Source organism: Homo sapiens, chromosome 2, assembly GCF_000001405.40.
Source record: "Homo sapiens chromosome 2, GRCh38.p14 Primary Assembly".
Taxonomy (NCBI): Eukaryota; Metazoa; Chordata; class Mammalia; order Primates; family Hominidae; genus Homo; species Homo sapiens.
Genome location: NC_000002.12, coordinates 45,455,231 through 45,481,672, shown reverse-complemented (window position 1 = coordinate 45,481,672; position 26,442 = coordinate 45,455,231). Strand labels below are relative to the sequence as shown.

The following is a 26,442-nucleotide window of genomic DNA, read 5'->3' as shown; positions in this document are numbered from 1 at the left end:
AAAATTCATGAATAAGATTTTATATGGACATATGTTTCCATTTCTCCTGAGTGTATGCCTGAGAATAAAAATTGGGGCACATGTAACTATGTTTAACATTTTCCAGAAATCTTTTTGACTTCTATTACTTTGCTGTCCTCGTCATTTATTCTCTGCCTCTTTCATTACTTCCTCCTTTTCTTCTCTGTCTCAAAATGTACACGTTCCCTAAGTTTTGGGCCATAACTCTTCCTCTCTCTTAATTCTCTTTATCAGCAATTCATTAGACTCCCTTTTCCTGAGCTACCTCCCTCTTACTTTCAAGAATCTTTTGTCAGCCTGATCATTCTCAACCTCGAGCTCTGCATTATTACTGTCCACTAAATAACGCATTCTTGATTATCTTGCCGGCAGGAAAGTAGCACCATCTCTCTCTAAAGCCTGGACATAGGAGTTATAAAAATGTCGCATGACATTTTTGTTTTCTCAGTGCATACAAAAGTTATGTTTATACTATAGTGTGTTAAGAATCTAATGGCATTATATCTCAAAAAATATGTACACATCTTACTTAGAAAATATTGTTTAAAATGCTAATGATCATCTGAGCCTTCAGCAGTTCACAGTCTTTTTGCTGGTGGAGAGTCTCGCCTTGATGTTCATGGTTGCTGACCAGAGTGGTGGTTACTAAAGGCTGAGATGTGGTGGCAGTTTCTTAAAATAAGACAACAATGAAGTAGTCTGCTGTATCAATGGACTCTCCTCTCACAAAAGGTTTCTCTGTAGCATGTGATGCTGTTTGGTAGCCTTTTACATTCAGTAGAACTTTATTTAAAATTGAAGTCCATATTATCCATTCCTGCTGCTGCTGCTTTATCAGTGAAGGTTTCTCTGTAGCATGTGATGCTGTTTGGTAGCCTTTTACATTCAGTAGAACTTTATTTAAAATTGAAGTCCATACTATCCATTCCTGCTGCTGCTGCTTTATCAATGAAGTTTATGTAATATTTGATATCTTTTATCATTTCCACAACGTTCATAGCATCTTCACCAGGAGTAGATTCCATCTCAAGAAAACACTTTATTTGCTTGTCCCTAAGAAAGCAGCTCTTCATTATGTCAAGTTTGATCATGAGATTACAGCAATTCAGTCACATCTTCAGGCTCCACTTCTAATTCTAGTTTTCTTCCTATTTCCACGACATCTGAAGTGACTTTCTCCACCAAAATATTGAATCCCTCAAAGTCATCCATGAGAGTTGAAATCACTGTCCTCCAAACTCTGGCTAATGTTGACATTTGCCCTCCTCCCATGAATTATGAATGTTATTAATAGCATCTAGAATGGTAAATCCTTTTCCAAAGATTTTCAACGTACTTTGCCCAGATCCTCAGAGAAATCACCATCTATGGCAGCTATAGCCTTACAAAATGCATTTCTTAAAAAATAAGACTTGAAAGTCAAAATTACTCCTTGATACATGGTATGCAGAATGGATGTTGTTTTAGTAGGCATGAAAACAGTATTAATCTTGTACATCTCCATCAGAGCTCTTGGATGACAGGTGCATTGTCAATGAGCACTAATATTTTGAAGGGAATCTTTTTTTCTGAGCAGTAGGTCTCCACAGTGAGCTTAAAATATTCAGTAAACCATGCTATAAACATATGTGCCATCGTGCAGGCTTTGTTGTTTCATTGATAGAGCACAAGCAGAGTAGATCTAGCATAATTCTTAAGAACCCAAGGATTTTCAGAATGGCAAATGAGCCTTGACTTCAGCTTAAAGTCACCAGCTGCATTCCCCTCTAATAAAATGAGTCAGGCTGTCTTTTGAATCTTTGAAGCCAGGCATTGACTTCTCCTCTCTAGCTATGAAAGTCCTAAATAGCATCTTCTTCCAAGAGAAGGCTATTTTGTTTACATTGACAATCTGCTGTTTATTGTAGCCACCTTCATTATGATCTTAACTAGATCTTCTGGACAACTTGCTACAGCTTCTACATCAGCAATTGCTGTTTCACCTTGTACTTTTATGTTAGGAAGATGGCTTCTTTCCTTAACCCTCACAAACCAGCCTTTGCTGTTTTCAGACTTTTCTTCTGCAGTTTCCTCACCTCTCTCAGCTTTCATGGAATTGAAGAGAGTTAGGACCTTGCTCAGGATTACACTTTGGCTTAAGGGAATGTTGTGGCTGGTTTAATCACTCAGACTTTCTCCATATCAGCAAAAAGCTGTTTTGCTTTCTTATCATTTGTGTGTCCACTGGAGTCACACTTTTAATTTCCTTCAAGAACTCTTCCTTTGCATTCACAACTTGGCTAACTGACCCAAGAGGCCTACCTTTCAGCCTTTCTTGGCTTTCAACATGTCTTTTGAATAAGCTTCATTATTTCTAGCTTTTGATTTAAAGTGAGAGACGTGCGACTCTTCCTTTTACTTGAACACTTAAGAGGCCATTGTAGGGTTATTTATTGGCCTGATTTCAATACCGTTGTGTGTCGGGGAATAGGGAGGCCCCAGGAGAGGGAGGGAGGGGAATAGCCAGTTGGTGGAGCAGTCAGGACACAGACATCATTTATTGATTAAGTTTGTTACCTTATAGGTGTGGTTCGTGGTGTTCTAAAGCAATTACAATAGTGATATCAAAGATCATTGGTCACAGATTATCATAACAAATATAATTAAATTTTGAAATATTTCTGAGAGTTACCAAAATGTAACACAGTGACCAGAAGTGTGCCCATGCTATTGGAAAAATGGCACCAATAGACTTGCCCAACTCAGGGTTGCCGCAAATTTCCAACTTGGAAGAAATGTGGTGTCTGAGAAGCACAATAAAGCAAAATGCAATACAATGAGGTATCCCTGTATTCTTAAATTCTTGACTTGGTTTACTGTTGTGGGGGTTTTTGTTGTTGTTTTTACTCAGAGTATTTTGGCAATGTATATGTGTTGAAAATCATTCTTATTGCATTACACATTTAAATGTTAGGCTAAAGAAATAATATTTGCTTTAGAGAAATTCAAGTATATCTCTACTTTAAATCTGTAATTATAAATGTGGTTATTAGAAGAAAGCATTTCTCCTATCACCTGCAATGCTTGCACTAACTAACCTTTTGTGATTGATTTCTTTAAATAATAAAGGTTTATGTGAAGGCCTTGGAATCCCCGTCTCTTCTGGGAGAAAAATAGATTGTGTAACGCCAGCTCAGCGTTCTCTAAGCTTGCTTTGCAAGGAGCTATTGTCACTATATATTAGATGTAGTAATAAAGGATGTGAAAAAGACTTGAATGATCATGTGTTGAACTTGATGTTCACAGTAGATAAGTAGATCTTATGTCTGATTAGAGAAGTGGTACAAATCAGCGACTGGAGAATCTGAGAGTCACTTGCAAGAGATGACTTTTGTTTCCAGACCTTGAACAGCTTAACATGGAAACAGGCATAGGATTTTCTTTGATGGTCTTAATATTTTCACTTAATGAATTTATATTTCATCTAACCTGTATGAGAAGGTGACACTGATTAGCTTCCATGTGTTTTGAAAATGGAAGCAGTTCATATATATATAAAGACTCAGTGTAAATATGCTACTGGAGAGGGAGGCTGCCTTTAGAACTATTCATAAGAGTTGTAATAGTTATCTTTTTTTTCTAGCTAAATCTATCTTATAAACGAAATTAGATGTGAATTTTTATTGATATTTGGTAAAAAAAAAAAGGACAATAAATGACGAACAAGTAAAATCATGACACAGTTAAAGGAATGTTTGAAATTAACTCTAAAGTTTCTTGAGCATGGATTGTAATGGTCAAGAAAGGGATGTAATTAGAACTATGGTGTGTTAAGAGACAAGCAGTTGGGACAGAAGGAGGATCACTTGCCAGGGCAATCTTGCAGTCATATTCAAGGCCACATGAGTATATTCATTAGCCAAGTAACTTGATCTCTGGTTGCATTAAGATATGATTCTGCTGGGCGCAGTAGCTCATGCCTCTAATCCCAACACTTTGGAGGGGTGAGGCAAGAGGATTGCTTGAGCCCAGGAGTTCAAAGCTGCAGTGAACTGAGATGGCACCACTGCACTCTATCCAGGGTAACAGAGTGAGACCCTATCTCTAAAAAAAAGGAACTTTAAAAAAGGAGGTAATTCCGTCACTTGTTCATTATTTGGGGGATCGAGTTCTAATAAGCATATTTGACATATAAATATATTTGTAATAATGCAGAATTATTTAAAACAAGGTTTTGCTTCCTCTGTGAAGCATGAGGTATCCTATTATGCTTTACGTAAAGAATGAAGAATGAATAGGTAATCATGTAAGTATAGGGAGTAAACGTTTTATTTGTTTTTCCAAATCTATAATCCTGTCAAACTACTTTGTGTTCAAGAATGCCTAGGAGTTCTGATGACATAATTCATGAAATTTTGCATTTACTTTTTGTGTGGGGAAAAAAGAGAACTTTGAAATTTAAATTGTTGGCCTTTTTTAGAGGGATGATGAGGAGGGACAGGATTAAGTACTTACATTATGAGAAACTAATGTAAGTAATTATTAGGTACTGCTTTTCACATTAAGTCATACTTGTTTTCTGATTCTGTTTTTTCAGTTTCCATAGCAAGGCGTGTACAAGATCCATTAGCTGAGCTAGTGAAAATTGAGCCAAAGCACATTGGAGTTGGAATGTATCAGGTAAAGCTATGTGGATCATTTAATTTATGAAATCCATCAATACAAGGAGCAGTACTCAAACCTGGGATAGTAATTAAGTGTCTGTGGGAGTAGATTCCCATTTTCAAGGTTATACAGTTTGTGGAAAGTAGGAGTTTTAAGTCATCAGGGAAGGAGGGAATTATTTTTGTCATTGTTGTTCTCGTGTTAATGATTTTGATTAAGACTTAGAATTGACTGTGGTCAGATTGAAAGACTATGAAAACACTAGATGAAACTAATAACTAATTTGGAGAGAGAGCCTCTTCTTTTAACATTATTATAAAAATGGTGGTGCTATCTAAAATAATTACAATAGTGATATCATGCATTGAACTTGATCTTCACAGTAGATAAGTAGATCTTATGTGTGATTAGAGAAGTGGTAGGTAATAATAGTACTCGTTTTTGTTGTTACTGTATTTTTAATTCTTGAGGTTGTATGTGTTCATTGGGCAATTCAAGACAGCACTAAACCTTGGCAGAGTGAATTTATGGTGATAGCAAAATGGTATGTGGGGAAGTTGTCTCCAGAAGGCTTGGGTCACATTGTTTTCCTCCTTGTCAAAAGCTATTAAATGTGAAATAGAGTATTTCCTTCTGTATAATTTTTATGGGATTTGAATGATAGGTACTATACTACACTTTTTCTAAAGAAATATATTATGTCATGGAATCTGTGACTACTAGATATGGAAGACACCTTAGAATTCATGTAACCCTACCCCCCTCATTTGATAGAAAAAGAGGCAGTGTCCTGGAGTACTTAAGACATTTACCCAAGATCTCATGGTAGCAAAGCTTAGATTAACCTGTCATATATTGAGATTCAACTGGGAATATTTCCATTTTATAGCAAGTTGGACTAAGGCATTCAGACCTTTAACTGGACTTACTCATTTCAGAAAGATAGTTGCTAAAGGGACTGATCTAGCTACAAGTAGATAGAAATGACTGGTATCTAAAGAGTACAACTGGCTAGGTGCAGTGGCTCATGCCTGTAATCCCAGCACTTTGGGAGGCCAAGGCAGGTGGATCACTTGAGGTCAAGAGTTTGAGACCAGCCTGGCCAACATGACAAAACTCTGTCTCTACTAAGAATACAAAAATTAGCCGGGTATGGTGGCGCGCACCTGTAGTCCCAACTACGTGGAAGGCTGAGGCAGGACAATCGCTTGAACCCAGGAGGCAGAGGTTGCAGTGAGCCAAGATTGTGCCACTGCACTCTAGCCTGGGTGACAGAGCGAGACTCCATCTCGAGAAAGAAAAAGTACAGCTATAACAGTTTTGTGATATAGGCATTATAGTGAAGAGGAATTATATTCATTCAAGATAAAGTTATGGAGCATCTTGGCAAGATAGTGGAATAAAGAGAAGATTCCAAATTTATGAAACCTGGGCAGGCTAATAAGCTATTGACTTCAAAGAGATCTTTAAGTAAATAGTGGAGACCTAACCTCCAGATTGGGATTCAGAGATAACGTTTAATGTGAAAGACTTTGGGATTCATTTTAACAACAGTGAGAAGTAATAGAAGAGGTTTAAGCAAGGGGGGGTGGCACAATCTGATTTATATTTTTAAGCATTGGCTCTGGCTGATCTGGGAAGAGTGACTTAGGAAGAAGAGAAGCAATAGAACAGCTAGGAGGCTCTTGTACTAGCCCAGGTGAGAAATAATAGTGCTTGGACAAAGTTAATGGCAGTAAAGATGGAAAGAAGTCAAGTCTGTTTTGCAGGGTTTGTGTGGTGATAAGTGAGGGAAAGGAATTATGAAGAACTTGCTCCAAGGGTTCTGATATGTGGATGATGCTTGAGTAGAGCAGGTTTGGTGGGTTAAGATCAGTAATTCAGTTTTAGACATGTTAAGTTTGAGATGCCTATAAGAAATCCAAGGAAAGATGTCAAGTAGGAGTTGGATATATGAGTCTGAGATTTAAAAAAATAGCCATATTAACATTGGACTACTCACTGTTCAGCAAATAATGAAACTAAGAACGTCATCAAGATGGTGGGCTGAATTAATGATATTCTTTAATTACACTACCATCATCAGCTGCATATTCAGAACTCCTAATTCCATGAGTTGACAGAAAAGGTGTACATGTGTACCTATATAAATACATATTTATTTGAATAAATTGATAACAGCATGGGAAAACAAGAAAGGGTCCCTCCCATTAGTGGATGGAAATCTCAGGAATTCCTGACAGATACTAAGCATGGGGAATCACACTCATGGAGAAATAAAACCTGGTGGAGTCACAGTTCAAAACATATACAGATCATTGTGTATCATTATGTTCTTGAGGTAGGTGCAGTTCCCGGTAGAGCCAAACTAGTCAGATTCAAATAGTAGGGAGAGGGTCTGAAGTATTAGATAAGAAGATACATATAGCAAAGCTAGGCCTGTACTGACCTCCTCCTCCAGTATACTGTGAATCCAAGCTGAAGCACTGACCTTAACATAGGCCAGAGAGGCTGGGAGATAGCTCAAGAGACCTTCGAATGTCAGGAAGCTCAAGGAGCCTCATCCTGAGAAGATAAATTCCTGCCATGTACATGACACCTGGCATGATGTCCCACATTTCCCACATTATCACCGGAGGTGGGGAATAGTAAACAGAAACAGCATACACAGACAGACAGTTAGGGACTCTGAAACGATCTCACTACCAAGAATGATTAAACATTTGAGGAAAACCTATGGTAGACAAATGAGGCACCAAACTTAATAAACAAAAAGTAATAGCGAGTGAGACAATGAATAAGTAACAGAGACTTTGAAATAAGTAAAAGTAAGATTCATAGAGAGAAAAGAGATTATTGCATTTATAAAGAAATATGTATTAAAATGAATTCAAACCAATCAAATATCTTAGAATTTAAGAATGTAATTATCAGGATTAAAATGCATAATTGGACTAAATAGAGTGGACACGGTTAAAAGCAAATTAATGAATTGGAAGGTTGAATTCCTTCAGAATGCAGTTTTGAACTGAAAAAGGTGGAAAGCATGAACAAAAAGTCACATGATACAGAGGACGTTCTAAACCTTCAGCGTTCATCTGATGTAAAATTGAAATAGTATGGAGTTATAATCACAGAAGTAATAGGAAATTTTCCTGAACTGAAGACAGACAAGTCTTCTGAAAACACCTTATGAATGCAGAAGTAAAGAATAACAAAAGGCCAACACTAAATTCCTGCTTATGAAATTTCAGAATACGTGATAAAGAGGAACTGACTAAAAGTATTCAGAGAGCAAACAGTTTATCTGCAAAGGAAAGAATGAGATTGACAACAGTCCTATTATTGATAAAAAATAAATGATAGAAGATAGAATGCAGTAGTTGTGGAGTTGTGGGAAAAAACATTTTGAACTCATAATTCTAAATCAGGCAAACCATCAATTTAGTGTGAGTGGAAAATAAAAACAATTTTGAACCTTCTCTGATTGTTTCACACCTTCTTTGAAAGAATTGATGGAAGTACTCCCTTCCAAAAAGCAGGGGAGTGTCCAAAGAAGGGAAAGACATAACATGGGAAACATGTACACACAGTAAAATGTATAGTTGAGCCTGATAGTTTTTAAAATCTATAATGTTAATCTTTAAATATTTAAGTCTAGATCAGATCAGTTCAACATGGGAGAGTAGAAGAAAAAGAAATGATAAAAAGTATTAAGATTCTTTTTCAGGAAAAAGATTCAGATATAAATTAACTCTAGAATTTGATTAAAAATATAACCTGAAACATATGAAGAACAACCACCAATAAGATATTTAATATAAATCATGAGAGTAAAATGTAAAAAGTTTATAATTTCATCCAAAGGTAGAGAAAAGAAAATAAGAAAGTATAGGAAATAAACAACAAAATATAAGGAGATAGGAATAAGTAATAGGTATTTAAAAGTGAATGGGCTAACTTCCCCTATTAATAGAACTTAAGACTTTAAAAAATAAAGTACAGCTCTAACTTACATATGTGCAAGAGACACTCCTAAAGAAAAAAAAAACAACCTTGATATTAAAGATTTGGATTAAAATATTCCACATAAATGAAAAAGACAGCCATAGCAATGTTGACCTTAGACAAAATAGAACTTAAGGCAAAATCATGAAATAGGAAAAAGAAAGATATTTCATGTTAATAACAGTCTTCCAAGAAAGTATGATTGCCCTGAGCAATCTGTTACCTAACAGCATAGCTTCAAGAAATATGCATATTACAAACTTTTCTAAAAATTAGATGAGACAAATTCACTGTTTTTGCAGGAGTCTTAGTAGACCATACCATATTAATATATACATTTTAAAAACAGCTTGAAGCTAGGCATGGTGACACGCACCTGGCCTCAGCTACTCAGAACACTGAGGCAGGAGATCATTTGAGCCCAGGAGTTTAAGGCTATAGTGAGCAATGATCATGCCTTTGCATAGCCACTGCACTCCAGCCTGGATGACATAGTGAGACCCCCCCATCTCTTAAAAAGACAAACCCAGCTTTATTGGTTCATAATTGCACATCATACAATTCATTGATTTAAAATGTACAAGTCAGTGATTTTTTTAGTATAGTCATGGAGTTGTGAAAATAGAACATTTTTATCACCCCAAAAAGAAACGCATTCATTAGCAGTCATTCTCCGTTGTCCTTTCTTTACCAGCCCCAGACAACACTAATCTATTTTCCTCTAGATACTTCATATACATGGAATCATACAATATGTGGGTTTTTATGATTGACCTCTTTCACTTATAATGTTTTCAGAGGTGGTCTGCATTGCAGCATGTATCAGTACTTCATTCTTCTTTATGGCTAAGTAGTATTCCAGTGTGTGTATGTGTGGGTGTGGGTGTGTGAGATATTTTGTTCATTCATCAGTTGGTAGGCTTTTGGATTATTTATACCTTTCAAGTATTATAAATAATGCTGCTGTGAACATTTTTGTTCAAGTTTTTATGTATGTTTTCATTTCTCTTGGATGTATACCTCAGAATGGATTTGCTGGGTCATTTATTAACACATAATTTTAAAGCCATGTCATGAATTAGGAAAATTATTTGCCACAAATATATATGTATATGTGATAACTGCATATTATTAAGGTTTTGTTTTATTCTTGATTTATATACATTTATAGTTGGTTTATATAAAACATTTACATAAAATATGTAAAGAGCCACTACATACCATTTACTGTGGAAGAAACAAATTTCTCTCTATCAAAGAAACCCAAATTTTAGAGGGTGTTATTATTTCAACCTAACAATTAAGTAAAGTTGTAATAAGATGAAAATATCTGTGCAAGTCAGAAGGATACAGTGAGGTGAACATTTTATATACACTGCTGGTAGAAGTCTAAATTACTATTTCTAGCAAATAGTTAATACCTATTAAAATGCACTTGTAAAAATGCATTTCTTTTAGTTCTCCCTTTAGCTAGTTCTAAGACAATAAGAACTGCTGTTAAGATTCATACACAAGTTTACTGTAATAGCAAAATATTAGAAGCAACTACAATAGCAAAATAGTTTTTAAAATTATAGTATGAGTTGAAATATACAACTATTTAAACAGGCTTTCAAGGAAGATTTAATAATGTGAGAAATTGTTCTTGTAGTATTTTAAAATTTCAACAAAGTTGTTGCTCTAGAATAAAAACAATTTGTGTTTTAAAAATGTAGGCATGTGTTTACATTGAAGAAAAAAAACTAAGCAGGTGACTGATACTTGTTGATGTGATTTTTTTTCACTTTTTGATTTTCAAACTCCCTATAGTGAATATGTATTAGGAAAAATTTGTTGTAAAATGTATAGCCATTAATAGATTTCCCTTACAATCAGAGTGGGACTGAATTTATTTTTAGTCTGGACTTCTAAGTGCTTTCAGTATAAACTTAATACTTATTTTCATTTTGATTTAAGATATGAGTAGATGGACAAACATTGCTGTTTAAAAAATGAAAGCTGTTCAAAGAGAGAATGTTAAATAGATGAAATAATAGAAGCTATAATATTATTTCAATAGAAACTAAAATACTTTTGGTTTAATAACAGCTAAAATGCTAAAGGCAGCGTTCCAATCCTTGTCTTAGGAGATGGGGAGAGGTGATTTTAAAAACACATGCCTGTCATTATTTCTGGAGAGAGAGGCAGCCAGTGTGGTCAAATGACAACATATCCCTAACTGACCCCTAAAGACTTTGCTGGAAAGTGACTTGATGTTACTCCCAAGAAAACACTCCAGAGTGAGAGCAGGATGATGCAGGTTTGGCTCTGTTGAGTTCACTGGGACGTGGGGAATGGTGGTTTAGCTTGGCCTTGTCATATCCTGAAAGCTCAACTTAAATACATTGGATTTACTTGATAATTTTTTCTTCTTTGGACTGTGTTTTCGGTACTTTCATGCTCATTAACACCTCCATTTGGTAATGAACACACACAGTAAAGTAGGAAAGACTCAGAACAGTGCTCTTTCCTCCTTTGTGCCTCTCTGTTAGATCATTTGGTGATGATAGAGAATGAAATGGTTGGCCAAAATAAGTTTTTGGAACTGTTATTGGATTCTATATCCAGGCCATCTTTATTCTTCATTATTGTGGATAATGAATAATTACTGTAAAAGGAAAATCATCTTCCCAGCGGAAATTTTTCACAGTAAAACCTCAAAGGTGGGAATTTGCATTTTCTTTCATTCCTGCTCTGTGGAATCAATTCTATGTAAAAACAAATCAAAAAAATAAAAAACAAACTGTTTTATAGTCAACATGTAGAGATTATTAAATGGAGTTTTAGTTTAGGTCTAAATAAAGTAAGGTTTCTTGCCTGTTCTACAGTGTTTGCTCAAATCTTTTAAAACATTTTAATTCCTTAATTATCATAGTAAAGTGGGATACAGAAAAGAGTCTGTCCCATGCCCGGTCACCTAGGTGACTTTTGTTTGGATTTTTGCCCCATACACAAAAGCAGTATTTTGAAATAGAGAAAACACAAAGGTGAAACAGAGGAAATTGTTCTAAAACTGAGACATTATTTACACAGGTGAATTCTCTGCCAAAATGGTTTTGCAATGTTGTCCCTTGACTCTAAGGCCCAGGATATGGGCTGTACTGAATCTTTGCTTTACAGGGTATTATGAGTGAAATTCAGACTTAGCCTTGCAATTCAGATATTTCATTCACTTGTGACAAAGCAGAGACCTAACTGAAGGAAAACAAGTAATTGACCTTGACTAGGTGTATGAACCCAACTCATGTGTTAGAATTTGCTATTTATTCCTTAAATTTCAAGTTTTAAAATTTCTTTTCTGGGTATTTTTCCCTTCAGGATGAATTATGCTTCCTATGTTGAAATACTAGCTTTAGTTTTCTCAAGTTCCTGGAAATCACCAACAATGTAATAAGCCATGTATACACACACATAACCTAGTGTAACACCATTACTTATCTTTAAAAGAAATGTGAAATGATAGCATGATTTGAAGAACCTTTTACCAATAATGCCTTAAATTAAAATGACATATCTAATTTCCTTTATCTTTTGTTTGCTTACTCTGTGTATGTCATTGACCTTGGCAGTGAAACTAGATCCATTTCAGTTTCAAGTTCACCTTCTAGTTTTCGTGTTAGCACAGAAATCACTGTTACAGTTTCTAAAACTTTAAGTTACTTTCAGTGTTTAAAACTAATAATTATATGATCATTTAAAAAATTATATATAACATTAAAAATACTATCATGAAAGAAAAGATTAGTAAATTCTACTGCATTAGAATCTAAAACATCTCTCAGTCAGAAAACAATATATAGACCATCCATAGACAGGGAGAAGGTATTATATTTACAACACATAAACTATAAATGATACAGAATATGTAAAGGTCTCTTGCAAATCAAGACATGAAAAGACAATTCCAGAGAAAAACAGGCAAAGGCTATGAACAGGCAGTTCACAGAAGAGGAGATACAAAAGAATAATAAAGCTATGAAAAAATTTCTCTCTCTTACCATGAATGGAGGAAATGCATGCTAAAGCCATAAACCCTTCAGGCTGTCAAAAATTAGTCTGATAATTCAGATGTTAGCAAGCATGTGGAACACTTGGAATCTTGTACATTATTTATAGCAGTATAAATTGGTACCACCACTTTGGAGAGCACTGGAAGTTAACAGAGCTGGAGATGAGAATTCTCTTCAACTCAGCAATTCTGTTGCAGAATGTATATAGCCTAGAAAAATTCTCTAAAATGAACCTAAGAAGACATGCACAATAAATTCATTGAGACTGGGCACGGTGGCTCACACCTGTAATCCCAACACTTTGGGAGGCCGAGGTAGGAGGATTGCTTGAGCCCAGGAGTTTGAGACAGCCTGAGTGACATAGTGAGACGTCATCTCTACAAAAAAGTAAAACAATTAGCTGAGCATGGTGGTGCACACATGTAGTCCCAGCTACTGGGGAGGCTGAGGTGAAAGGATCACTTGGGCCCGGAAGATAAAGGCTGCATTGTGTTGTGATTATGCCACTGCACTCCAGCCAGGGCAACAGAGTGAGACCCTGTGTCAAAAAAAAAAAAAAAAAGTTCATTGAAGCAATATTTATAGTAGTGAAAATTTGGAAATACTGTGCTCATCATCTGGAAACTGGAAAGATACACTAGTAAAGTCAAGACTGTGAAAGAACAGATAGAGCAGTGAAAATGACTCAGAAATGCTAGATTAATATGGAGAAACCTCATAAGATGTAATGTTAAGCGAGAAAGTAAGTTGCAGAATATGTACAGTATTATAGGGCTGATATAAAATTTAAAAATATGAAATATATAGGATTTATGAATACCTATATATAGTAAGATTATAAAAATAAGCGCAGAATTTAAGATGATAGTTTGGATGGGGCATGGAACGAGAGAAAAATGGGAACTGGGAGAGGTACACCAGGAGTTTCAATCATATTTATAATATCTTATTTCTTAAACTGGTTGGTGTTGCTTATACTCTGTAACTTTTGTTAAATATTTCATAATTTTTTAACAAGATGCAGGAAAGCTTGGTCAAATGCTACAGATGCTTTAACTCGGGAACTTTGGCTTTCAGTTGGTTTTAGTGTCTTCCCTATATATTGATGAGTGTGTGTGTACATGTGTGTTTTACAATGAGAATTTACTTATAATCAGAAAAAGGTAAGCTATTTTCATTGTTAGTGAAAATTTAAATATACATTTCATATTATATGTTACCTTTCCCTTCATAATATTCTTAGAAATCTTTCTCAAGCCCCTAATGTTGCACGAAGTCAAATGCTTTGTAAGGCACAGTTTTGACACTATCTTAAAAAATATCTTATCTCATAAATGCAGGTTTTTCTTCTGTGAATTTTAGGAATTAAATAATTATTTTTCCCCCATGGTCATTTTAGACAGATGTGGCCTACGACAAACCTGTAGACTGCCAAATTTCTAGTGCTTATATACAGGGCAGAGTTGGGTAGAGCAGATGTTTAAGGAATTATGGTATCATATGTTACAGTAATGGTACTGTCATTTAACTAGCATTTATCGTATACTATTTTCTTTTCGCCACTACCTGCTTCCCTCACTCTTAAATTATTTAAATGAGAAACCTTAAGATTATGCAGGGGAGTTTTTAAAAATACCTAGGCTACATCTCCAGAGTTTGTAGTTTAATTGGTCTGGGGGTGGGCCCCACATGCCAACAAGCTTCTTAAAATTCACATGTAATTCAAATGTACAACCAGGGCGGAGAATCACTAGTTCTGAAAATACAGTCAGTAGACTAGCAGCATCAATATCATCTGACAATATGCTAGAAATGTGCATTCTTTCACTTGCTTCCCAGACCTGTAGGATCAGAAATTCAGGGGGATTGGACCCTGTAGTCTGTGTTTTATTGGCCTGGGTTTGAGAACCACTGGTCTCTAATGCTCCTCAAACTTGACTATGCATATAAAATCCCTTTGTTAAAGATGCAAACTCTGATTCAGTTAACCTGGAGTGAGCAATGACAGTCTGTGTTTCTAGGAAGCACTCAGGTGATAACTGTGCTGCTGGTCTGTTTTGATTAACAAGAGACCCTGCTGAAAGTCTCCTGGGCCCTCCCTCAGGCCTGTTGAATCAGAATCTGATTTTAACAAGATTTCTAGGTGTTTTGAATGCACATTGCAGTGTATGTAATGTAGGAGGAAAATTAGGACATGCCAGTATCTAAGGGTGAGAGTTTGAAGAAGCAAAAATCAGTATTGTGAAACACAACCAAGATGAAATAGGAACAGAACTGAAAATGTGTCTTTTGTGTTTAATTTTAAATGTTTCCTTTAAAGAAATTTTCCTTTAAAGTGAACGTACTCATTTAAAATATTGATGATTACCATAAAAATAATTTCACTGGAGTGGTGGAGGCAGAAGTCTGAAAGAATTAAATCCAGGACTGAATGAAGTGTAAGCATTTGAGAGACAAGTGTATACAAATGTTTAAGGAAGAGAGTTATTTAAGGAGGTCAGGATTTGAATGTGTTGAATGTCACTGGGAGGAGGGAGAAGTGGAGAGTGAGAAGTTGAATATGCTGAAGAGGGAGGCAGCTGGTTGCCTGAGGAGATGGCATCCACAGGATGCCTCCAGGAATAGCCTAAGGAAGAAAATGGAGAGGAGCTCCAGAGAGACTCCTGTGGGGTAGTAGGTGCCCGGCAAGAGATGGAAGATAGCAGGACTGTGAGGAGTTGTTCCCCTACATTTCTTATCTTCTCTGTGAAGCAGGAACCTACTCCCTGCTAACTGCTCCCTCAACACACACAAAAGAACAGCTAGTGTTAAGTGTCTGAAATCACAGTATTTATTTGCTTACTGTGTTCCTCTTCTAGTGCAATAAAAGCCCTTACATGAGGGTAGGCTGTTTCCACTTCTTGTATCTTCAGCTCCCAGGACCTGGCACATGGTAGATATTCAGTATTTCTGAATGAATGCATGGTAGATTATTGGTATAGTTGACCATTTATTGTATTTTTTAAACTTTATTATAAACACACCATAAAATTTTGCAGCCTCTCCAAATTTTTGTTGAAGTGGGATCAGAACTGAAAATGTGTCTTTTGTGTTTAATTTTAAAACAATTCTTGTTCATTTAAAATCAAGAAAATGTAGCCTGGTCACAAATGCTTCTTAGATCCAGGTGTTTTGAATGCACTGTAATGTAATGCACTGTAACATGCATTCAGAACACCTGGAAATCTTGTAAAAATCAAGGTTACATTAAAAAGTGTAGCCTTTCACTTAAAATTTTAAACCTGAACTGTTAAATAATATTTTTAAAATGAAACTCCTTTGAAGAAAATATGTTGAAAATCATTGTCTTCCTTTCTAGTTTTCTTCCAGTCTTATACTTTGATCATTAAAAGTGTTAAGTCCTTTATGTTCAAGGTAAGAATCTGTTCAGTTTTTTGTCCAGACAGGGACCATGGTGTTTTCTTGCAGTCTGGATCATTTCCCATCAGAATTTTGACTGTCACATTCGTGTGTCTGTGTGTGCATTTATATATATATACACACATATATGTATATGTGTGTATATAGTCAGCCCTCCATATCTGGGGCTTCCAAATTCAACTAATTATGGATTGAAAATATTGAGAGGAAAAAAAGGATAGTTGCATCTGTACTGAACATGTACAGACTTTTTTTCCGTGTCATTGTTGCCTAAACCATACAGTTTAACAACTATTTAAATAGCCTTTACACCGTATTAGGTATTATAAGTAATCTAGAGATGATTTAAAGTACACAGGAGGTTGTGCAGCATAGGTTAAATGCAAATACTACACCGTTTTATATCAGGGCCTTGAGTACCTATGGATTTGGGTATCTGCAGGGAGTCCTAGAAAAAATCCCCCATACCAGGGGATGACTCTGTGTGTGTGTGTGTGTGTGTGTGTGTGTGTGTGTGTGTGTGTGTGTGTACAATCTCAACCATGACAGTTTCTTTTTAACAGAGTATTGGTACTCAATTAATTGAGAATAGTTATGACAAATGTTTAAAGATGTCGGTAAAACCACTTCATTATTTCATAAATAGCCTTTTTTTCTTATTTTATTAGGTTGTATTTGGCATACAACTTACTTTTTATACTTTTGTATACATTTTTAGAGCTTTAATGTTCAGACTTCAGTTACCTGAAAATATTCTGTCTCATTTACACATTCTGTGATCTGGAACACTGATCCAGTCTCCAATTTTGTGTCTCAGTGTTTTATACCTGTGTGAATTTCAAGCCCTTGGGTTTAGTTGATAGTGAATGGCTGGCCTTGTGAAGGCCTCGTTAACATATTCAAAATGTAATCTGTCTCAAAGCTGAGGTAGTGACCAGAATAACCAATGCCACATTCTTTCCCTTCTTTGTGATAGAATGCTTTGTGTAATTCAGTGTATGGAGGTGACACTTACAGCTCTTTATTAATTGACCTTTTATGAGGGCTGTTACTTGTTTATTATATTTGCCATCTAACCAATGATCTGAGGACGTGAAATGTCTTTTCAAAAGGTACCCTAGAACATCGTTTTTCTGTGAATTGGCGAGCAAAAGTTTCTTGAAACCTAATAGGATAGGAGAGAGCTATCTTGCATACCTCATCTCTTTTCTGTTCTCTTTTGACTTGGATCTTTCTGTGGGAGTTCTGTATGTGAGCACCTGCTTGAAAGGTGTTTGGTAGTTTAGGGCCAGAGAGCATTAGAATGGCCATGTAGTTGAAGTGAGAATGGCTAAGGAAAGTGAAGAAGGAGTGCTATGGATGAAAGAACTGGAGTTCTTTAATTTAGCATACATCTCCATTTCTTTACCCCCTCTGCAAGGCATATTCTGTTCTCGGTGGAAATAATCCTTACCAGGACAGATCAGAGGTAGCACTTATAAAGGAATGTTCTTTGATTATGACTAAATCAGTAATTAGGACTTACAATGTAAAGTGTAATATCTTTATCCAAGAAAAACTTTGTTGCGATGGGATTCATTGGAATAGAATTTTTCCTTTAAAGTGAACTTATTCATCAAAATGTAAGTTATGGAAGTTCTTAGTAATTTTATCTTTGTTTGATACAGAGCCCTAAGGGAGTTTTTAGTGTACTGGTTATGTGTGGATGCATATATTGGTTGTGTGTGGATGCATAGTTTGTAGACTAAAAATAGTAGAATAAGATTACTCCAAAAATGTTTAATCCTTCATAAAGGTATTACTGCTTTGCTAAATTTTGGGATATAATTATATGTGGATAACCATTTGGCACACTAACAATCTTGGATGTAATGTTTAACTTTACTCATGGAAAAAACCATGTAATATAATAATGTTCACATTAGAAAAAATGTTGAGAACCCAAATATAAGATTGTGCTAGGTGATTATAGCAATTGAGAAGAGAAATAAAATGTGGAAGCACTATGGGGGGCCACTTATGAGAATTTCAAAACTGTATCCTGAATATCTGATACTTGCTATTTTTCAGGAATGTTGATTAACTCATTCCTTTATATATGTGTGTTGGAGTGTGAGTTGATCATGATCTTTAAGAATAGCACAGGCAAATGTAATTACTTGTAAGATTATGTTACATTTTAAATTTAAGGGGAAGACATCATCATTATTATAGGGACAGTATGCATTAAATGCATAATCCTGCAGGAAGGCCTAAGGTATAAGAGTTGAAGTGGGAAATAAACCCTGCCTGCAAAGTGATTTTATAATGTGGTACAGAGACAGGAAGGGTGGCCTCGTTGAATTATGGTATGGGTTCACTCATGGCAAAGTTCTCCGTCCAATCTATCTTATGCTATAGACAGTTGTGTTACATTGTCTTTCTTTCTGGTGATCATGGAAAGGAATTCTAATGATAAAAGTCTGTAGTGAGGGAAAATTATATTGACAAGAGAGATTTCCCCCCCCCCCCCCGGGTTATTCTCAACAATTAAATATCATTACCATGTAAGAAAAGTTACTTATCCTGGATTCGTGTAGAATGAAAATTGTTTTTCAGTCCACAGAAATGCATGTGTTGTCGTTTTGAACAACTAACCTTAAAAAATCTATTTTTGGGTGGGATAGTAGGCAGGTTAGCAGCCTTCTTAGTGTACTTTTTTTTTTGAGATGCAGTCTCGCTCTGTTGCCCAGGCTGGAGTGCAGTGGCGCGATCTCAGCTCACTGCAAGCTCTGCCTCCCAGGTTCACGCCATTCTCCTGCCTCAGCCTCCCAAGTAGCTGGGACTACAGGTGCCCGACACCACGCCTGGCTAATTTTTTTTTTTGTATTTTTTTTTTTTTAGTACAGACGGGGTTTCACCATGTTGGCCAGGATGGTTTCGATCTCCTCTTAGTGTACTTTTAACTCTGCTGATGTGTTGTCTTTAATAATCTAGAGCAGGGCACCCAATCTGTTTATTGTACTGTATTATTAAAAAGTGTATATTCTTTTCAAATGCTTAATGGAAAGGGATAATTTTCTGACATATACAAGGCTTTTGTTTCATTATTTATTTTGAATACATGGGGCCAGAGGGTATGAATGCAGTTAGGTTTTGTTGGAAGGGAACTTGCAAAGACTTTTTGAGGCATGATGTGCAAGTGAGTGTTTTTAAGTCTCAGAGGTGTGATTATGTCATAACAGCCATAACCTCTGGGCTTGCTTTATTACTTTTATTAAAACAAATCTGTATGAGGGCGCTATGTATATTTTGGTGATGAAGGAAATGAGGTGGTTAATTTATTATGTGAACAGCACTTTCAACTAACCACAGCGTGATTCGCTGCGAGTGCAGTGAAAAAGCCTAGCTCTGTAGAAATGACTGCATTTTGATTTGTGGACCTTAACTTTCAACACCACAACATGAAGTTTATCTACAAAATGATTCCTTTTTTTTTCCTGTAATGTTTTTGTACAATTTTTAATCTCTGTTTCTTTTCTTCATTTTATTGTGGGAAAATAAAAACTTAGTAAATGAACTAAACAGCTCTCATCAGCAAACTGAAGAGAAAAAAGGGAGGAGGATCGACACGTTAGGGCATTAGGGAACTGAGTAGCATCTTTTTAGCTTCCAAGTATCTCCCACATCTATCTCAGAAGAGGACTCCACAGAATAAGTCAATATTCTAAGCTCTCAATGAATGACGATAACTATCTGAAGTCAAATAAGAGTCAAGGAAAATGAGGCACCTGTTCTTCCCTTTTGTAGGATGCATTTTTAAGCAGATCCATAGTGGAAAAGAAAATTAATATCTTGTAAGAGAATCTCTGAGATTTAAAAGTTGGGGGGGGCAGTTGAATCTCTGAGGTTTAAAAGTAGGGGCGGCGTCAGTTATGGGAGAAGGTGGGGATGTGTACCACACAGAAGCATATGCACTGTAGAGTGGGATTGACAGAGGGACTTGTCTGTCTAACGAGTTTGCAGTATATAGAAAGCACTTGTTGTATACTCATAAACAGCCATTGAAAGACCAAGAAAAGGTTGTTTTCCTTGGAGTGGAGCCATATCCAGCATCATCTGGTGATGTGAACCTGCCTAGAGAGAGAGTGAAAACAGGTCATCTTCCCAGCAGTATTTTTGAAAGACTCCGTCATTTTCCAGATGTGCCAAGTACCAACCATTAACAGACAGGAAGACTTGGAAATCAGTAAGCCATTTAACTGCCAACAATTAAGGTATTTTATATCTGGAACATTACAAGTCTCCATGAAAGGAAGGATAACAATCCGTTTTATATTTTATCTCTGCTTCTTTGGAGTGGCACACCACATTTCTCTTCAGATCCCTACATTTACTCTAAAAATTGTGTCATTCCTTCATAACACTTCCCCAGGAGAGTTGACAAAGTCCAGGAGATACATTATTTGTGTAGTTTAAAGACAGGCTATAGAGGAGAGAGGTCCACGCCTGTGGTTTCTGTAAACAGGGTAGACTGGGAGGGAGCGCTGGCACGCCTGGTTGGGTTGTTATTCGGTCATCATGACCAGTCATTCCTGGTGACTTTGTATCTACTTTGAAACTGCTTCCATAGTGGTGATTAGTAATGATCATGGACAGTCCCAGATTGAGGTAGAAATTTCATTTTAAAATTGGATTGTAGGCATAACTTCGTTTTAATGGCATTGGTTGGGCCTCTCAAACTTTCAGATGTCTTCACTAGTAGAATTAAACTATGTCCTGGACATTTCAAGAGAGTTATCTTTGATACTATGTAAGCCAGCATTTAAATTTTTAAAAGAGAATTTGTGTTCATAATGGTTTTGCTACTTTTTATAAAGTTGAGATTTAAGAAGTTATTCTTGGGAGTTGGTTTTGAAAAGTCTGTTACTCTTCCTTTCTCTCTTCTAAATGCCCACCACAAACCAATGCAGAACATAAGTTATTTTTAAAACATAGATAATAGAGAAGCCATAATTTCAAGTGTATCCTTGCTCTTCCCTGCCTTCCTCAGCATTTCCTTCTGTGCCTGCTTGCTATGTGCCTGTTTCCTCGACTCCCTTCCAACCTTCTGTGAGCTGCCTTTTGAAGAGGTGGTTTGTTCCCTAGTTCCTCATTCAGAACCCCCCTCATATGGTGTGAAATACAACCAGCCTTTTAAAAAAGTGATCCAAACCTCTTTTACGATTTGAAACCTAGTCGGATATGTGTTGACAAATTTAAGCAACTTTTTTTAGTTTTTCAAAATACAAATTTACGGGCATGCTACCAGAATTAGCATTAACTGAACACTGACCCAGTGATGGCAGCAGAATGCAGAAGACATCCAGCCCAGTCAGCTAGATGATCAGGGCATGATTGTGAATAAAATGGAACATGGAAGTTGGCAGTGAGCCAGGACGTGTTTTCTTGTGGATAAATTTACAAACTTAATGTTTATCATTAAGTTTGTAAAAGGAAATTTGGACTCTAGATTAGAATACTTGGTTAGTCATACCTTGGGCACATAACTATGCTCATTGACCTATGCCCATCCTTGCCGTTGGGTTATTCAGGGTGTGTTTAGTGAAAATTTCCCTGAGAGATAAAGATCTTACATAGACAGGAGCCTGCTTTAAACTAAAATTTCAGAAACATTTTCACTGGCACCATCCTTGTTCAGTGTGGTTTAGTGGAAAGAACACAGAGCCCTGGACCCCAAAGTGAGCTATGGACCTTGGTTTAGCTACTCATGTGTCATGTCACCTTGGGAAAGTAATTTTACCTTCTTGGAAAATAAGATAAGGATACCGATATGTTTTCTGAAGGAGTGTTAAAGGGAAAAAAATTAGACATGGAAGTGCCTCAAGGTGCATATGTGAAAGTGTTTTCACTTCATGAAATCAAAAAAATTTCATTCACTTTAGTAGTTCTTTGTTTAAACCTTTGATGTTAAGGTCCTGTTTATTCCTGTTGTTTATTCATATGCTAACCTTATCAAATATTCACTGAATCATTTAATTTCAGGTTACAAGGGACCCTCAAGGTCATTTAGTTCACACCTGTCAGGTATAAGCATGTTCATTCCTTTCTGCTGAAAGGAAGGACAGAAGCAGCCAATGGGGAAAGCTTCCAAAACAAAGGATCAGAGAGAGTGGCAGCGTTGCTGTGGTCATAATCCAGGAATGAGGAAGTGAAGGCCCATTGCCTGCCTCTTATAAATAGTAATGACAGGACGTGTTGCACAGGGAAAGATAGGCATTTAAAGTTGAATTGGAAAGTACACTTTAAACTTCTGTTAGTTATTACCTACAGAATTTTTTGTAAGTCTATAGTGTTTTACTTGTTATCCTTGTGTATCTGATTCTTCTGTTGTGGTTCACATCTAAATTGACTCAGTATTTTGGAGGTGGGAGTGGAAGAGGGTAGAATGCTTAAAAACAAACACAGCAGCAACAACAGAAACAAACTCTGTAGTTTGTTGGGATGCATGATCTGGTTATCGGTTGGCAATAAGAAACAGCTGTTTGTTTGTTGACAGCCTGCCTTTCCTCTCCCCTAATCAAGCTGTTTCTCATCATGTAATTACCAACTCTTTAGTATTTGAGACTTGTGGATTTATAGTTGGTCATATAATATTTGCCAAAACGTCATAGTTTACATAAAAAATTAGTGATTCCCCTGTAGTCATTCTACTGAAATATGAATGTGAGTTGTAATAAAATACCTGAAGAGACTTCTGAAATTCATTTCAGACTTAAGGGAATGTAGAGGGTGTTTTGTGTGTGTTCTAAAAAGGAAGTATTGGTGTAACTCTTCCCTCTCTTGTAGACTCCACTGCCAATCTGAAAAGCATTCTGTTTTCAAAAATGTAGTAAGGCAGCACTGATGTGGATAACAGGACAGATTTTGTTCTGATGAAGAAGGATATGGTTGCTTGTTTCTGTCTTTGTCTTTTTTCTTAAAACACTGTTCTAATTTTGAAGCCAAGTGTGAAAGGAAATAAAGTTGTCAGAGGGTCCAAGATGATGTTTCAGTCTTCTGGGTAGCTTTAGTAGCAGAAAAATAGCTGAATGTACCTCCTACTCTAAAGAGACTTAATTTAGGCCATTTTGTAAACAGACTACTTTCAGTCTGGCTTATGCTGAGTGAAGCCCATTTTGAAATAAAGGTAATCCTGTGTTTTAGGAAAACAAGCCAGAAAGGGTGAGGCTTCTGTTGTTTCATTTAGTTTTACCCTTCAAAATAAAACAAATGTTTTCTAATCACGCTCAGGTCACAGCTTCTCTCAGAATGGAAAAGTTTCTCTCTTCAATTAATCTTTTGACATTGCAGAGATAGTTCAGAAAAATCCCCTTAAAAGCTACAGTGCCAAAATTTTTTATTTTCATAAACTCCAAAGTAACATCACAAGTTCTCCTTGGTTTGATAGGTTTAAAATTATAATGGATTTTAGAATATATTATTTTCTCTTTGATCTCAAAGACATTACATAAATTAATTTTTATTTTAAAAGAGAATATGTGAATAGTAAGTGCTTTTTGAGATATGAGCTGTAACTAGGAAAGGGAATAATTTAGTTTAAAATTTGTAAAAAGTCAAATTTTGAAAAGCATATTTTGTATGAGTATAGTTTCTATTCTCATTTGCATTGTGTTTGTACTGTTTTTCATCTGAAGTTTACACCTACATTTTTTTCTAAAAGCATAAGTCCTTGAAAATATTTTAGTTTAAATGCACGTGTCAAATTTCTTGGTCTCTTGAAGTCAACAGCTCCCAAATGTTAGCTGAATTAGACTATCAGTGATTTCACCAGGTGGCTAGTGACAGTTAATATTTAGGTTTTTACCAGAACATGAAGTGTTTGTCGGGGTATTTTTTTAACATACGCCGTGAGAATGACATTTCTTATATTACTTTAAACTATTTAATTGCAGTTAGTATCAAGGCAAGATTTGTTTCTTTATCTTAAAATATTAGCTATACCATGAAGTTGAGATTTGAAATAAAAAGATTACTTCTAGCTTAATTGGAGCAGGTAGGAAGTGGTGGCATATAAAAGGTGAATATTTTCATATGCACAGCTGTGCATGTATTCTTAGGGCTCTGTTGGCCAAAATCTGTTGTCCTAGTAGTGCTCAGGTGCATAATTCAGTCAGTTGAATCACAGATGATCCATTTTCAAAGCACTTTAGTAGTTGGGTGTCAAGGGAAAAAAGTTGTAATTTTAAGAACTTCATCCGCAAATCATGTAATGGTATTTTTAATTTTAGCTTCCCAAATCTGTGTGGACAAAAATTATTCAGTTATAAATAAAAGATGTGTAAATCCTTATTCCAGTGGCCTTCTTTGGGGTGACAGGGAGGAGTATTAGGCGATGTTACAGGATATTGTTACAGTTTTATATTTTGTTTCTCTGTGTTAGACTTTTCTATTTGATAATACTTTTTCAAAAATGATGCTATAAAAACCCATTATTATAGAGCCATTAAAAATACAGGTCTATTATCCAGTGATTAATATCCATGACCTTTATTTTTGGATCGGCTTCATAAATATATACATTTTCTATGTCAGCCATTGTCTGGAATTTCATTTTTGTTCTGCTTTCCATTACATACCATGAATTAAATGAAATTAATTTAATCGCTACTACAAACAGAAATTAAACGTGCCCTAATCCAGAGTTACGTTGTTTGCTTTTACAACTGTAAGTCATAAGTAATTAATTTTCCTTGGAAAATTAATTCACTTAGCATTCCCAGTAGCATCATATGTTGACACAGGGTTATAGATAGTTTAATATTTTTCTTCAGCATGCTGGCCTCAACTTTAGAAGACCTTAAATGAAAACAAATTAAAATTTACTCAACTGTATGTAATTTGGGGCTATTTAAAATAAGTGTTGTTGTTATTGATAGCATCCAGGTGATGACTCGAAAATTATACTCAAACTTTACAAAATGCCCATTATGTATTAGCAAGTCTGAAACAATATATTTTTTAACATTGGTTATATGACAGTAGCCATTAATATTTTCTGTCCCTCAATTCTGAATAAACATTTGACATGAGAACCATCTAACAGCAGTAGCATGGAAAGTTTTTTTTACCATCACTTAACTGTCAAGAAAACAAAAGGGTTAACTTACTTGCTGGACATTTGACCACCTGGGATAGCAGGCCATCCTGTCTGATTCTTACAGAGCTTATTTTCAGTCTCTCACCTCGGTCAGCAGAAAAATTTCTATCAAGGTCATCTTAAAACATAGAATATATTGATTGCCGTTTTCTAATTGTTTCATTCTTTCCTGTTTAATACTTTTTTTCCCCTTACTTTCCAGAAAGGCCAGTGTGGAAAATGAAATAAGCAGAAGTCTTTCAGTTAAACAAGCTTTCCCCCACTGCTTTTTATATTCTGGGGACTCAGAAAATATGAGCAAACCAAATTTAGCTTTTCTTTTGCATTTGCCAGGAGGTTATTTAGTAAGGTGATTTTTTTTTTCTGGTTCACAGAACTCTATAAAACATATAGTGTTTATTACTTTATGTATATTTATTTAAGTCACTAAGGTGAAACTGTAGTGATGGTGGCAATGTTACAGTTTTAACAAGTGGGGCTTATTTTATAAATGTGTCTTTGTGGCAATAGCTTTCAAAAATGCACAGGGTTAGCAGTGACATGCTCTTTTGGAAAGAAAATTTGCTGTTTAATTCCAGGGTAAAAGTACTACTAGAACACAAAATCACCACTGTTATTTTTTTATTTTTTATTTTTTGGTTACTATTTATTGTTAAAGTCAACTTTAAAAAAATCTGTACTCGCAGGATTTAACTAACTACATACATTGCAAAGTTGTGTCAGGGAGAAAATGTTTGCTTGTTATCCCTATCAGAAGGGGGGTGACAGGGAAGTCCCCTTCCCTATGCTTCAGAGGGTTTCCCTCTGAGTGGCCTTCAGAGTTAGGATAATGGCTTTCCTCTTTATCATCATCAGACAAAATGAAAAGATTACACATGTCAAGTTACGCACATTTATGTTTTTGCTCTGACCTAAATATAGATTGTTGTACAGTCAGGTTTAAGGGAAAGCAGTCTTTCAAAAATAATTTAGGCAGCCCAGGTGATGATTATTCTAAAAACTCTATTCCTAAATCTACTATCACATACCTGCAATACGATTACATATAAATACGTATGATAATGCTGCATACATTCTTACACAGTTTTTAAAAAATGCTTCTGCCTTCTTTCTGAAATGAACTGGTTTACTTTATTCTGGTTTTGAAGTGGAAAAGTAAAT

The 26,442-nt window shown here is 35.7% G+C and overlaps 1 protein-coding gene across 8 annotated transcripts in view, besides 1 other annotated feature; it reads left to right on the top strand.

The window, feature by feature from the left end:
• The window catches only part of SRBD1 (S1 RNA binding domain 1), a 222,588-nt gene that overhangs the window by 129,595 nt on the left and 66,551 nt on the right, over positions 1-26,442 (top strand). For 5 of the 8 annotated variants that reach the window (NM_018079.5, XM_011532946.3, XM_047444862.1 and 2 more), the window contains one exon: positions 4,598-4,680. The exons of the other annotated variants lie outside the window; for them this stretch is intronic. In NM_018079.5, coding sequence (NP_060549.4) covers positions 4,598-4,680 — 83 coding nt within the window. Of the gene's footprint in view, positions 1-4,597; positions 4,681-26,442 lie in introns of those variants that run through there. 8 annotated transcript variants of the gene reach the window in all.
• Positions 15,195-15,705: an enhancer, noted in NCBI's record as "NANOG hESC enhancer chr2:45693107-45693617 (GRCh37/hg19 assembly coordinates)". NCBI's record gives its function as "activates a minimal SCP1, AML or CMV promoter by ChIP-STARR-seq in primed H9 embryonic stem cells {active_cell/tissue: H9 hESC(primed)}" and the evidence as "EXISTENCE:reporter gene assay evidence [ECO:0000049][PMID:30033119]".